The sequence below is a fragment of the Homo sapiens genome, chromosome 7, assembly GCF_000001405.40.
Source record: "Homo sapiens chromosome 7, GRCh38.p14 Primary Assembly".
Taxonomy (NCBI): Eukaryota; Metazoa; Chordata; class Mammalia; order Primates; family Hominidae; genus Homo; species Homo sapiens.
Genome location: NC_000007.14, coordinates 71,760,961 through 71,776,815, shown reverse-complemented (window position 1 = coordinate 71,776,815; position 15,855 = coordinate 71,760,961).

The window sequence follows — 15,855 nt, the reverse complement described above, 5'->3', positions numbered from 1 at the left end:
TAAGACCAAGAAGAAAGACGCAGGTACCAACCACCAGGAATCTCCGGAGCCATATTAAGATGACATGCTGTCTCAGATTCTCTGGGGTTCATAGCCCCACTTTGGCTCTTGGGACCTCGGCTTCTCACTTTTTCCCCATCTTTCTTCTCTGCTCTCAGGGTAGCTCGAAGTTAGCTGAGCTTCAAAGACCTCTCCCAGGCAGTGGTCCTCAACCATGCTTACACATGACAGTTGCCTGGGGAGCTTTTAAAAAATATCACCGTTGACCAGGCACAGTGTCTCATGCCTGTAATCCTAGCATTCTGGGACGCTGAGGCGGGAAGATCACTTGAGCCCAGGAGTTCAAGATCAGCCTGGACAGTACAGCAAGACCTCCTCCCTCCTCCAAAAATGTTTTAAAAATAGTAGGCCGGGCGCGGTGGCTCACGCCTGTAATCTCAGCACTTTGGGAGGCCGAGGCAGGCAGATCATGAGGTCGAGAGATCAAGACCATCCTGGCCAACATGGTGAAACCCTGTCTCTACTAAAAATACAAAAATTAGCCAGGCGTGGTGGCATGCGCCTGTAGTCCCAGTTACTCAGGAGGCTGAGGCAGGAGAATCACTTGAACCCGGGAGGCGGAGGTTGCAGTGAGCTGAGATCATGCCACTGCACTCTAGCCTGGCAACAGAGCGAGACTCCATCTCAAAAAAAAAAAAAAAAAAATTGTACAGGCGTGCACCTGTAGTCCCAGCTACTCTGTAGGCTGAGGCAGGAGGATCTCTGAGCCCAGGAGTTCCAGGCTGTAGTGAGCTATGATCGCAGCACCACGCTCCAGCCTGGATAATGGAATGAGACTCTTTCTAAAATAAAATAAATTAAATAAAATACAATCTGACACTGTCTTGGCCCCGCCCCCAGATATTCCATTGTTCTGGGTGACTTCATTGTCCTGGGATGCAGCCTGGACCTCAGGGATTTTAAAAGCTCACCCAGTGATTCTAGCTGCACAGAGTGAAGAACTAGGGCAGTGAGTTCCTCCTACTCTTTCTGACTCATGTGCTTCCCAGGGAAGCAGAACCTGGAACGTGTTAGAAGTTAATCTTCTCAGGCCACATCACAGCCTATGCAATCAGAAATTCTGGCGATGCCCAAAACCACAAGCCCCTGGTAATTCTGATGCCCCCTCAAGTTTAAGGACCATTGTCTTAGTAACACTTTTGCACAGTGATGGACATTGAGATCAATACATAATTGCAATTATTATAAGAATCACCAGGTACCTTATACATGTAAAGATGCCTAGAGCTCACCTCAAACCTACTGAATTTGAATGTCAGAGGAAGGGCTGCCTGGTGGGGATCTTTTGAGAAAGCCGTGAAGGATCATCAGAAAGGAGGCATAGCCTGGCATGGTGGCTTATGCCTGTAATCCCAACATTTTAGGAGGCCGGGGTGGGACGATTGCTTGAGGTCAGGAGTTCCAGACCAGCCTGGCCAACATAGTGAGACCCTGTCTTCAAAAAATAAAAAATAGGCATAGTGGCTCACGCCTGTAGTCCCAGCCACTCAGGAGGTTGAGGCAGGAGAATCACTTGAACCTGGGAGGTGGAGGTTACAGTGAGCCAAGATCGCGCCACTGTACTCCAGCCTGGGTGACAGAGCAAACTCCATCTAAATGAATAAATAAATAGAGTTGTAGTGGCACACCCCTATAGTCCCAGCTACTTGAGAGGCTGAGGCAAGAGAGTTGCTTGAGCCCAGGAGTTTGAGGCTGCAATGAGCTATGATCACACCACTGCCCTCCAGCTTGGGTGACAGACCAAGGCCCCATAAGAAAAAAAAAAAAAAAGTCCCAAACAGCAGCTTCAATAAGGAAAGGAAAAGCAGCAAGATTCCCCAAGAGGTGGAGGGATGGAGATGCTGAGCTTCCTGTGCATATGTGAACCTCGAGTTGTGATGGGGCAGCTGGCAGAGCCCTGCTATTCCCCGCGTATCTTGAGCAGAAAGTCCTGCATCCCAGAAGGCAGTGCCAGGCAAGGCATGAGTGCACCCTCCCAGAGAAGGGCTCAGTATGTGTCTCCTTCAGCCTCAACTCTTCCCAGCCTTCTGGAATAAAGAGAACCCAACCTGACCCTCCATGTATTTGAACCTCTGGCGTACAGGAACCACATGGAATGGTTTGCATATTTGATCCTCCGTCTGTACAAGCCTCTATGCGCCGATAACCCCATGGAATAGCTTCTTCTTGGCTGGCGTCTCTTCAGTACCAGCCTCTGGTCTCTCCACTAGCCTTCTCCTAGGAGGACGAAGTGTCCAGAACGTGGGGCCAGGTGCGATGGCTCACACCTGTAATTCCAGCACTTTGGGAGGCCGAGGCAGGTGGATCACTGGGTCTGGAGTTTGAGACCAGCCTGGACAACATGGTGAAACCCTGTCTCTACTAAAAATACAAAAATTAGCCAGGCATGGTGGCGGGCACCTGTAATCCCAGCTACTCAGGAGGCTGAGGCAGGAGAATCGCTTGAACCTAGGCAGTGGAGGTTGTAGTGAGCTGACATCACACTATTGCACTCCAGCCTGGGCGACACAGTGAGACTCCATCTCAAAACAAAACAAAACAAAACAAAACAAACAGAATGTGAGGATTAGGGGGCACTGGAGGTGTCTACCGTGCTGTCACATAAGGGAGGACATGGGGTCATGCTGTGTGGGGCGGAGAGAGGTTGTGCACAGACTCCATTTCATCTGTGACCTTGGATGGACAAATGGCCTCAGCTCCGTGGCTGAAATAATCTTCCTTAGCCACACGACAGCTTATTTTGCACATCACTTTATTCCCAGCATCTAACACTGTTCCGAGCACAGTGCTCAGAAAATATTTGCTAAAGAAATAATTGAACAAACCAAATGACATCCCATGGCTCAGATATACAAATTGTCTGGGGGTGCAGAATTCTCGTGCTTTCCCATCTCTCCTCTCTGGGACAGGTGCTTTATAAATATCAAAGTATATTTTATATTTTATTTTTAAAATATAAAATTTCCTCCACCTCCCATCCTCCTTCCCCTGGTTCTCATGCCTTTGGCAAAATCAGGGATGCTCTGTGTTTATGTGTTTATTTGTTTTTGTGTTAGTTTCTCTGGCCTGTCCAGGAATTCTTTATCCTCTCTGATAAGCTGGGACGGGAGGTGATCTACAGCCTCTTCATCTAGTCCCAGAGGGCACTTTTCAGCCAGCATCTGGTGCTATGGAGTTGGGCTCTCCTCTGGCCAAGAGACAAGCCAGTCACCTTCCCTGAGAACCACAGCATCAGTCCCCCTGGCTGGATCCAAGGTCTTCACAGTCTCAACCCATCACCCCCCTGGGCTGGAATAGACGGTGATAGGGTTTAACTGTGTCCCCAGCCAAATCTCACCTTGAATTGCAGCTCCCATAATTCCTTTGTGTTGTAGGAGGGACCGAGTGGGAGATAACTGAATCATAGGTTTCCCCCATACTGTTCTCATAGTAGTGAATAAGTCTCACAAGATCTGATGGATTTATAAAGGGTTTCCCTTTTTGCTTGGTTCTCATTCTCTCTTGTCTGCCGCCATATGAGACGTGCCTTTCACCTTCCACCATGATTGTGAGGCCTCCCCAGCCACGTGGAACTATGATTCCATTAAACCTCTTTTTCTTTATAAATTACCCAGTCTCGGGTATGTCTCTATCACTAGTGTGAAAATGGACTAATCCAGATGGATTCTGCCAAATTCCCTACAGAACTTCCTCCTCTCTCCTCTCTGCAGGTTTCCACACACATCTGCTGACTGCCAACAACACCCAGTAGCCCCAGCCTTCACCACACAGCAGACACCTTAGAGATTCATTCGAGTCACCAGCAAGCATCTGCCAGGCACTGATAGGATGTGGGAGGGATACAAACAACCCACAGGCAGTTTACATTTTCGTAGAAAGAACACTCAAGAAAACCTAAAGTAACAGCCCAGGTTCAGAAGTCCTATGGAAGGATTCATCACACAAGATTAGAGCAATAAAAGAGAGGGAGCATTGCTCATTTTAAAAGTTTTATTTTTAATTATGAAATATTTCAAACACATAAAATAACAGCAGCATTCTTATCACCCACATTTAACAGAGATCTCTCTCTCATTCTCTCCTTCTGAATTTTCATCTCTATCTCTTTCTGTTCTTTTTTCTTTTCTTTTTTTTTAAGAGACAGGGACTTACTCTATTGTCCAGGCTGGAGTGCAATGGCATAATCATAGCTCACTGCAGCCCCTACCTCCCAGGCTCAAGCAATTCTCCCATCTCAGCCGCCCAAGTAGTTTGGACTACAGGTATGCTCCACCATGTTCAGCTAATATTTTATTATTTTTTTGTAGGAACAGAGCCTTGCTATATTGCCCAGGCATGTCCTCAACTCCTGGCCTCAAGCCATCTTCCCGCCTTAACCTCCCAAAATGCTGGGATTACAAGCAGGAGCCACCGCACTCGGCTCTATTTCTTTTTCAAGAAATAAAACTTTAGAGGCCGGGCACGGTGGCTCATGCCTGTAATTCCAGCACTTTGGGAGGCTGAGGCGGGCAGATCACTTGAGGCCAGGAGTTGGAGACCTGCCTGGGAAAAATGGGGAAACCCTGTCTTTACCAAAAATACAAAATATTAGCTGGGCATGGTGGCATGCACCTGTAATCCTAGCTACTCCAGAGGCTGAGGCATGAGACTTGCTTGAACCTGGGAGGCAGAGGTTGCAGTGAGCCAAGATCGCGCCACTGAACTCCAGCCTAGGTGACAGAATGAGACTCCATCAAAAAAAAATAGAAAAGAAAGAAAACCTTAGAGAAGCTGCTAATGCCCCAGCTTAGTCTAGCTTTCTCACTTCCTCTCCCTCTCTGAATGTAACTCTATTCCTGAAATTGATGCTATAGTAGTCAGGGTTCTCCAGAGAAAGGAGAGTGATCATGAGAAATTGGCTCACGCAATTTAGGAAGCTGAGAAATCCTGTGATCTGCTCCCTGCAAGCTGGAGATCCAGGAAAGCCCGTGGTATCAATTCCATTCTGAGTCTGAAGGGCTGAGAACCAGGAGAGCTGATGGTGTAAATCTCAGTCCAAGGGCAGGGGAAGATGAGATGAGACATCCCAGCTCAGCAGGCAGGAAGAAAAAGGGCAAATTCCTCCTCTTCCACCTTTAGGTTCTGTTCAGACTCTCAGTGAATTGAATGATGCCCACTCACATTAGGAAGGGTAATCTGCCCTACTCAGTCCACCAATTGAAATGCTGGTGTCATCTGGCAGTACCCTCATATCCAGAAAACATGTTTAATCTGGGCATCCTGTGGTGTGGTCAAGTTGATGCATAAAATTCGCCTTCACAGACAGATCCCATCTGTACTTTTTGTATGAGGATTCTTGGAGAGGCAGGAAAGCTTCCAGGAAAAGAAGTTAATCAGGAGCCGGATGCGGTGGCTCAAGCCTGTAATCCCAGCACTTTGGGAGGCCGAGGCTGGTGGATCCCCTGAGGTCAGGAGTTTGAGACCAGCCTGGGCAACATGGCGAAACCGCATCTCTACTGAAAATACAAAATTATCCAGGCGTGGTGGGGGCCTCTAATCCCAGCTACTAGGGAGGGCAGGATAATTGCTCGAACCTGGGAGGCGGAGGTTGCAGTGAGCCGAGATTAGAGATTACACCACTGCACTCCAGCCTAGGCGACAAGAGCAAAACTCTGTCTCAAAAACAAAAACATTGAGGCCGGGCGTGGTGGCTCACGCCTGTAATCCCAGCACTTTGGGAGGCCAAGGCGGGTGGATCACGAGGTCAGGAGATCAAGACCATCTTGGCTAACACAGTGAAACCCCATCTCTACTAAAAATACAAAAAACTAGCCAGGCATGGTAGTGGGCGCCCGTAGTCCCAGCTACTCTACTCGGGAGGCTGAGGCAGGAGAATGGCGTAAACCCCGGAGGCAGAGCTTGCAGTGAGCCGAGATCTGGCCACTACACTCCAGCCTGGGCGAAAGAGCGAGACGCCGTCTCAAAAAAAAAAAAAAAAAAGAAAAAAAAAGTTAATCAGGAAGTGTGGGGACAGTGTATTCCAGACAGAGGGATCAGTGTGTGCCAAGGTCCAAAGGCTTGGCACACTTGCCTGAGACTAGTTATGAGGATTTTGCATTGATCCAGGGGGAAAATGTGGGTGGCCTAAACTCAGAAAGTGAGGGTGAGTTATAGAGAACAGGGCGGACCCAAGAGAAATTGAGGAAGGAGATCCCGTGGGCCCTGGTGATTCTCCTGTCTTGAAGGAGGCAGTGACTCAGGTATAACATCCAGGCTACTTGGTGCTACTGGCAGGCTTCCAGGCTTCTGGTTTCAGGAGAGGTGGAGGATATTGCATTTGGTTTCAGTCATGCCTTTAAGGGCACGCTGGTAATATCAGATAGGCAACTAGAGATATCTGGGCTGTATGGCTTTTGCTGCAGAAAAGCAAGCCACAAGTCTGTCTGCCCTTCTATAAACTAGAGAATAAGGCACCCACCCAGAGAAGTCTGCATTCAAACCTCTCTTATCCACTTCTTCCTTCCCTCTCTACCTCCTGACCAGAGAGGAAACTGCAGCCTGTCTTGGGTATTTGCCACTGTTCAAACCTTAGACTCATCCAGTGTTCAAGAAAATTGCTCAGTTTCCTTCACGCTCTCTGGTATCATTTAGACCCAGCATCAGCCTGGCTGTAGAGGAGCTGGGCACGTGAGTGAGTTTCATGCCAATGGCAGGCTGGAAGGCGGGAATAAAATCAAAGCCGTCCCTGAGAGGGTAAACTGGTTAGTGTCATGGAGAAAAATCACAGCCGACTGGGCACAGTGGCTCATGCCTGTAATCCCAAGCACTTTGGGAGGCCAAAGCGGGCACATCACCTGAGGTCAGGAGTTCAAGACCAGCCTGGGTGACACAGCGAAACCCCATCTCTACTAAAAATACAAAAATTAGCCGGGTGTGGTGGTGTGCACCTGTAATCCCAGCTACTCGGGAAGCTGAGGTGGGAGAATCGCTTGAGCCCGGGAGGCGGAGGTTGCAGTGAGCAGAGATTGTAGCCACTGCACTCCAGCCTGGGCAATGGAGTGAAACTCTGTCTCAAAAAAAAAAAAAAAAAAAAAAAAGAAAGAAAAGAAAGAAAAATCACGGTGCCTCAATTGCCCGTATTAAAAGAAATCCTACTGCTGATTTTGCCATTTTTTCCTTTGTATCCACTGATTTCCCAAAGAATTTAAGGAGAAACTCTGTAGTGGTTTCCAATGTTCAAATAAACAGCAGTAGTGGCTGTGGGATCAAAACTGCATTCCAAGAACATTGCTCCACTCAGTTCAGTATGATTCATTTCAAGGCCACTTTTTCTTTCTATACATTTATTTCATTTTCAGAGTTGGGGTCTCGCTCAGTCCCCCAGGCTGGAGTGCAGTGGCATAATCGTAGCTCACTGCAGCCTGGAACTCTTGGGCTCAAGTGATCTTCCTGCATCAGCCTCCCAAGTAGCTAAAAGTGGAGACTTTAAGACCCACCAGCATGCCTGGCTAATTTACGTTTATTTTATTTTTGTACAGATGAGGTCTCACTGTACTGCTCAGGCTGGCCTTCAACTCTTGACCTCAAGCGGTCCTCCTGCTTTACCCTCCCAAAGCTCTGGGAGTACAGACACATGCCATCACCCCTGGCTAATTAAAAAAAGAAAAACATCCCAGCACTTTGGGAGGCCGAAGCGGGCGGATCACGAGGTCAGGAGATTGAGACCATCTTGGCCAACATGGTGAAACCCCGTCTCTACTAAAAATACAAAAATTAGCTGGGCGTGGTGGCACACACCTGTAATCCCAGCTACTCAGGAGGCTGAGGCAGGAGAATCACTTGAACCCGGGAGTCGGAGGTTGCAGTACTCCAGCCTGGCGACAGTCTCAAAAAAAAAAAAAAAGAAAGAAAGAAAGAAAAGAAAAGAAAAACAAAAATCATACTCTTTTTTTTTTTTTAGAGATAGGATCTTGCTATGTTGCCCAGGCTGGCCTTGAACTCCTGTAAGGCCCTTTAACAATGTGCACACCCAAGCAATGTGGTCACTTGCACTCTCAGCCACGACCCCCTCTGCCCCACCACACACATTGTTCATCTTGACCTCAGCTCAATTATTTAACAGATTTATTGCCAAACCTGGGTTTTCATGCACGATTTCCAGGAAATGTGAGAGTTGAAATCAAGTTGAACTTATGTGGTTTTGCTCCTTAACTTGAGTTTTCTCTATGATTTCTGGGAGACTTTATAGGTCTGTCTTCAGCAATCTCTGCTAGTTGCTTATTTTGACTCTAGGAAGCTTTAAGGTAATCTATCCTATTAAACCCAAATAGAATGTTGGCAAGAGTTTTAGTATCAGCCCCCACCAAAGAATAGTTTATCTTGCCTGAGAAGGATAAGATCAAATATCCATGTCATTGGAGGGAATTTTCTTTGCTTGACTTTCAGAATAAAATATGCTTTGAACTCCTTTACTGGAGGAAATAAAAAAAAATTAAAAATAAAAGCAAAAATGTCTTCAGTTGAATCACTTTGGCAAAACCACTGCCCCTGCCTTCTCTCAGCAAGCTTGGAGGCTTCAGAATTTGTATGAAAGTGTCTTAGCATTGAGCCATTTTCAAGTGTAACTACATATTAACACCTGTCACCATATTGAAAGACCTGAGAATCAGTTTATACTCACTTGTCAGGACAGAAACCTTTAGTGTAAAAACTGATGTGAAATATGAGAGACCCTCACAACACAACTTGATTAGTTTCCAAATATATTTTAGCAGAACCACAGAGATGTATATACCCAAAGGGATTAGAACCTGGCTCTTCCTGACAAGCCCGTTCTTGTCTGCCACTCCATGAAGCAAAGAGGGACAACTATTCTCAGGAACCATCTTCTATTTTTCCATCAGTAGTAACTTTCTCTACGCTTTTCCTTACTTTATCATGTATTTGTGGTGTAAAAGCCATTCAAGAAGACATAAGCAGGTTTGGCATGGTGGCTCATACCTGGAAAGCCAAGGTGAGAAGATTGCTTGAGGCTAGGAATTCAAGACCAGCCTGCACAACATAGCAAGGCTCCATCTCTGCAAAACAAATTCTTTATAATTAGCTGGACATGGTGGTGTGCACCTGTAGTTCCATTTATTTGGGAAGCTGGGCAGGAGGGTTGCTTGAGCCCAGGTGTTAGGGCCTGTAATGAGCTGTGATTGTACCACTGCATGCCAGCCTGAGTGACACAGCAAAACCCTGTCTGTAAATAAATAAATGAAGTTAAAATATAATGCTTCAGGCTGGGCGTGGTGGCTCATGCCTGTAATCCCAGCACTTTGGGAGGCCGAGGCAGGTAGATCATGAAGTCAGGGGATCGAGACCATCCTGGCTAACATGGTGAAACCCCGTGTCTACTAAAAATACAAAAAATTATCCGGGTGTGGTGGCGGGCACCTGTAGTCCCAGCTACTCGAGAGGCTGAGGCAGGAGAATGGCATGAACCTGGGAGGTGGAACTTGCAGTGAGCCGAGATGGCACCACTGCACTCCAGCCTGGGTGACAGAGCGAGACTCCAACTTATATATATGAAAATGCTTCATGATATTCTTATTATGTATTATTTTTCTTTCCTGTGTTTCCATTAAAATAATCATGAAGATGTACAAATAGAGGGACAAAATTTAACACTGGAAACCAAAGATAAAAGTTGAGAAGAAAATTTCTGATAACCACAGAACCTGAAAGACTGAAGAAGAAATTCAACAGATGATTAACTTACATGCTACCTTTTGAACCATAGTAATTCTGCCAAGCTACAACCAATGGGGAGTCTACAGCCAGCTTAAAATAGAATGGCCTACATCTTTCCTTTCTCACATAATAAGTGCCCTTTTCTTTCCTTTACTACCCATGTCTGTGGTTTTGGGGGACTCGGAGGCCCTCTATCCTAGAGATATCCACTGTTCTCTCCATTACCTCATCTGAGGAACACAGGCTTGGGTCTAACAGCTAATTTCTCATCAGAAACCAAGAAGGTCAAAAGCTGTTAGGATGACATATTCAACATGCTGAAAGGAGATAAAACACTGTGAACCAAAATTTTATATCGAGCAAAACTAAAGTCAATATAAATGGATGTTTTGTTCGTAACTCTTTTTTCTGTCTGACCAAAAAGACAACTCATAAAGCAAGAATTATAAATCTGTGTTAATTGGGCACATAAAATATAAAGGTGTAATTTGTGAAAATAACAGCATAGAGGAAATGGACAAGACTGAGATGGGTTTGTTTACTGGTTAGTTCTACCAATATTTAAGGTAAAAATTATAACAATTCTCTGCAATCTCTTTCAGAAGGCTGAAGCAGAGGGAATACTTCCTAACTCATTCTATGAGGCCAGCATCACCCTACTATCAAAACAAAAAAAGATATTACAAGAAAAAAATGACCAACTCATAACTTACATAAATATAGATGCAGAAATTCTCTAAAGAATTAGCCAGTGTCATCCACCAATGTGTAAAAATAATTATGTACCACAATCAAGTGGAATTTATCCAAGTTACACAAGGCTGGCTCAGTATTTGAAAAATCAACTAATGTAATCCATCACATCACTTTCTAAAGAAGCAAAAGTTAAAATATAACAGATGTTGGCAAGGTTGCAGAGAAAAGCTAATTTTTATTGGTGGGAAGGTAAATTGCTTCAGCCACTGTGGAAAGCACTTTGGAGATTTCTCAAATAACTTAAAATGAACTACCATTCAACCCAGCAATCCCATTACTGGGTGTATACCTAAAGGAAAATAAATCCTTCTACCAAAAAGACATCTGCATCCGTATGTTCATCACAGCACTATTCACAATAGCAAAGACATGGAATCAACCTAGGTGCCTGTCAGTGGTGGATTGGATAAAGAAAATGTGATATATATACACATCATGGAATACTATGCTGCATTAAAGAATGAAATTATGTCCTTTGTAGCCACATGGATGCAGCTGGAGGCCATCATCCTAAGTGAATTAATGCAGAAACAGAAAACCAAATACCACATGTTCTCAATTATAAGTAGGAGCCACACATTGGGTAGATACTGGGGACTACTGGAGGGGAACAGGGCTGAAAATCTACCTATTGGGTACTAGGCTCGCTACCTGAGTGATAGACTCATTCATACCCCAAACATTAGCTTCATGAAATATACCCATGTAACAAACCGGCACATGTACCTCCTGAACCTAAAATAAAAGTTTAAATTATAAAACAATAATGATAAACCAAAATAAATCAAACCAGGAGATTGAATTACCTTTCACCTATAGATGAAGACCTATTCCTGTACATGGCCAGCTATTAGGAGACCCAGTGTGGTCAAAGCATTTCTAGTTTCTCAACATCCACCAGATCCTCAGCCTCACAACATGACATTTTTGAGAGAAAAGTATGTGGGGTTTTTGGGTGGGGGAGGGAGGATTACAATAACTATTATTTCTAGTTTCATAGACAGCAATAAAATCCATAATTAGTTTATTATTATTAAATAAAATATTTTTACTATAGGCTCTATTTACAGTGTTTAAATAAACTACATTCTAAATGTTAAAAAAAAAGAAAATTACAAGTTTATATCAGTAGATGCAGAGAAAGCATTTGACAAAATCCAGTACCTATTCGTGATAAAAACTCTCAGTAAACTAGAAATAAAAAGTAATTTCCTCAATGTGATAAATACTACCTACAAAACACCTACATCTAACATCATACTTACTGGTGAGACACATGAGGCTTTCCCACTAAGATCAGGAACAAGGCAAGGATACCCCTTCCCACCACTGCTTTTCAACATCATACTACAAGTCCTACCTAATGTAATAAGACATAAAAAGGAAATAAAATGTACACTGATTGGTAAGAAAGAAATGAAACTGTCTTTATTCACAGATGACATGATAGTCTGTGAAGAAAATATGAAATAACTGACAAAAACAACTCTTGGAGCTAATAAATGATTATAGCAAGGTTGCAAGATACAAGATTAATATACAAAAATCAATCACTTTCCTATATGCCAGCAAAAAACAAGTGGAAACTGGATTTAAAAACACATGCCACTTTCATTGTTACCCCCCAAAATAATATACTTAGGAATACATATAGTGAAGTGTGTACAGGATCACTGTGAGGAAAACTACAAAACTCTAATGAAAGAAATCAAATAATAGCTAAATAAGTGGAGAGCCATTCCATGTTCATAGATATAAAGATTAAATACTGTCAAGATGTCAGTTCTTCCCAACTTTATCTATAATGTCAATGCAATTCCAATCAAAATCACAGCAAATTATGTTGTGATATTGACAAACTGGTTTTACAATTTATTATGAAGAAGCAAAAGACTCATAGTGGCCATCACATTATGAATTGAGAAAAAGAGGACTGGCAGTACCTCACTACAGTAATCAAGATTGTGTGGTATTAATAAAAAAATAGACAAATAGATTCGTAGAACAGAATAGGGAGCTCATAAATAGACACACATAAATATAGTCAACTTTTCTTTTAAAAAGGAGCACAAACAATAACATGGAGGAAAAAAATAGTCTTTCAGCAAGTGGTGCTAGAAGAACAGGACACCAACATGCAAAAACAACAACAAAAAAGAATCTAGTCACAGACTTTGTACCATTCACAAAAACTAACTCCAAATGGATCACAGGCCTAAATGTGAAAGACAAAGCTATAAAATTCCTAGGAGATAACATATGAGAAAATCTAGATGACCTTGGGTTTAGCAGTGACTTTTTACATACAATATCAAAGGCACAATCCATAAAAGAAAGAAGTGATAAGCTGAACTTCATTAAAATTAAAATTTATACTCTGTGAAAGGCACTGTCAAAAGAATGAAAGAAGTCACAGACTGGAAGAAAATATTTGCAAAGGACTTATTTAATAAAGGGCTATTATCCAAAGCATACAAATAATTCTTAAATGCAACAATAAGAAAACAAACAACCCAATTAAAAAAAGAGACAAATACCTTAAAAGATACCTCCCAAAAGCAAATATACAGATGGAAAATAAGGATATGAAAAGATGTTCACATCATATGTCATCATGGAAATGCAAATTAAAATAATGAGATACCACTAACCTATAAGAACAACTCCAATCCAGAATATTGACAACATCAAGAATGTGAAGCAAAGAAATTTTCATTCATTGCTGGTAGGAATGTAAAATGGTACAACCACTTTGGAAGACAGTTACGTAGTTTTTTACAAAACTAAACATACTCTTGCCATATGATTCAGGAATCTTGTTCCTTGGAATTTAACCAAAGGAAGTGTAAACTTATGTCCACCCAAAAACCTGCATATGGGGGTTTATAGCAGCTTCATTCATAGTTGGAAAGACATGGAAGCAGCCAAGATCTTCTTCAATAGGTGAGCGAATAAACTGTGGTACATCTAGGCAATGGAATATTATTCAGTACTAAAAAGAATGAGTTAGCAAGCCATAAAAAGATATGAAGAAACCTCAAGTGCATATTACTCTAGTAAATGAAAGAAGCAAAGCTGGAAAGACTATAATGTATTATTCCAATTATATGACATTCTAAAAAAGGCAAAACTATGGAAACCATAAAAAGATCAGTAGTTGCCAGGAGTTAAAGGGAAGATAATAATGAATAGGGAAGGCACAGAGGATTTTTAGGGCAAATATCCAAAACCATAGATTATACAACATAAAGAATGGAGCCTCATATACGCTATGGACTTTGGGTGATAACGATGTGTCCATGTAAGTTCATCAAGTATAAGAAATATGTCACTCTGTTAGGGATGTTGATAATGGGAAAGTCTGTGCATGTGTGAGGGCAGGGGATAAATGGAAAATCTTTGTACCTTTCACTCAATTTTGCTGTGAACTTAAAACTGCTCTAAAGTAATAAGTCTTTAAAAAAAAAGGTGAGGGGGAGTGACACAAGCATGATGGCAGAATAGGAGTTTTCAGCACTCATTCACCCACAGGAACACTGATTTTGAGAACCCCCCACAGATGAGAGTCCATTTGTGAGAGCCTGGGAGTCCAGCAGAGAGGTCCCAGCACCTCACTGGAGCAAAAAATCTGAAAATAGATGCACTGAAAAGGGTAAGAAGAACAATTTCACTTTACTCATGTCACCACACCCCCAAAGCAGCACAGCTCAGTGCCAAGAGAACTCCTTGGCCTGCAGTTTCTGCCACAGGGGAAAGTGAAAGCATAGTGAGTGCCTGTTTTCCCCAACCATGTGGGATGCTGTCCAAGAGGTCCACTTCTTTTTTGTCTTATCCAGAACACGAAGCAGATTGGCACAGCTGAATAGTCTGGGACCAGATAAAAGCAACAATAAGAGACAGGGGCTCAAACCATCCGGGACACAGAACTCAACAAAAGGCTGTTGTTTCTACTAACTACCTCACATTCTTCTCCAGCAAGAGGCCTGCCCATGAACGTAGTTAGGACATAGCACCTGGCGATTTCCCCAACTAATTCATGCACTCACCCAGTATTTCGTGTGCCCTTCTCCTCCCACAGCTGATACCCTGAGTGCATTCCCACTGATAGCACACTCAAGCATCTGCAGGTCATGCACAAGCACAGATAGACAGCTGTCTCAGCCCTGCTAGATTGGGAAAGGCATTTAACCTTGCATATTTTAAAGAACTGCCCTGGGAAAAATGAACAGGACACTCTCAGCACCCAGCTGCCTTTGCATAATTGAAAGAAGGCATACAATCCTAAGACCTTCTCCTCAAGACAGAATAAGAGGACTAGAGTGTATCAATGAAAATGTCTGAGAGACACCGAATTACTAGTTGGGCTGACTGGTGAAGGTCTTTCTCTTCTAAAGCCAGTCAGTAAAGACTGGATGAGGTCACTGCTTCTTCACATGTGAATACACCAATGCAAGACTTCAAGAAACATGAAAAATCAGTGAACAAAAACATCACCAAAGAAACTCAATAATATTCCATTAACTGACCCTATAGAAATGGATATCTCAAAACTGTCTGACAAAGAATTTAAAATAATTGTTTTAAAGGGCTCAGTGAGCTACAAAAGAACACAGATTAACAACTCAATGAAATCAGGAAATCAATACATAAACAAAATAAGAAGTTCAACAAAGAGATAGAAATTATTAAAGAGAACCAAACACAAAATCTAGAGGGGAAGAATACAATAGGAGAAATGAAAAATGCAATAGAGAGCTTCAGCAGCAGATTCCACCAAGTAGAAGAAAGAATCTATGAATTCAAAGCCAGATCATTTGAAATTATCCAGTCAGAGATGACAAAAGAAAAAAAGAATAAAAAGGAATGGGGAAAGCCTATGAGATTTATGAGACACCATCAAGCAAACCTATATTTTATATACATATTATATATTTTTATATATTTATATATAAATATATATTATATATTTTTATATATTTTTATATATATTATATATTTTTATATATTTATATATAAATATATATTATGTATTATATATTATTATATAAATATATAATAGATAATATATATTTTATATATTGTTTATATATATTAAATATATATTATATATTATATATATATTAAATATATAATATATAAAATATATATAAATAAATATATACATATATAAATATATATATTTATATTATATATTTATATATGTATATATTTATATTTATATAATATTATATATATATATATATATATAGAAAGGGTTATTCTACACAAATCATAACCAAAAGAGAGCAGGTTTGGCTGTTTTATATCAGACAAAATAGACTTTAA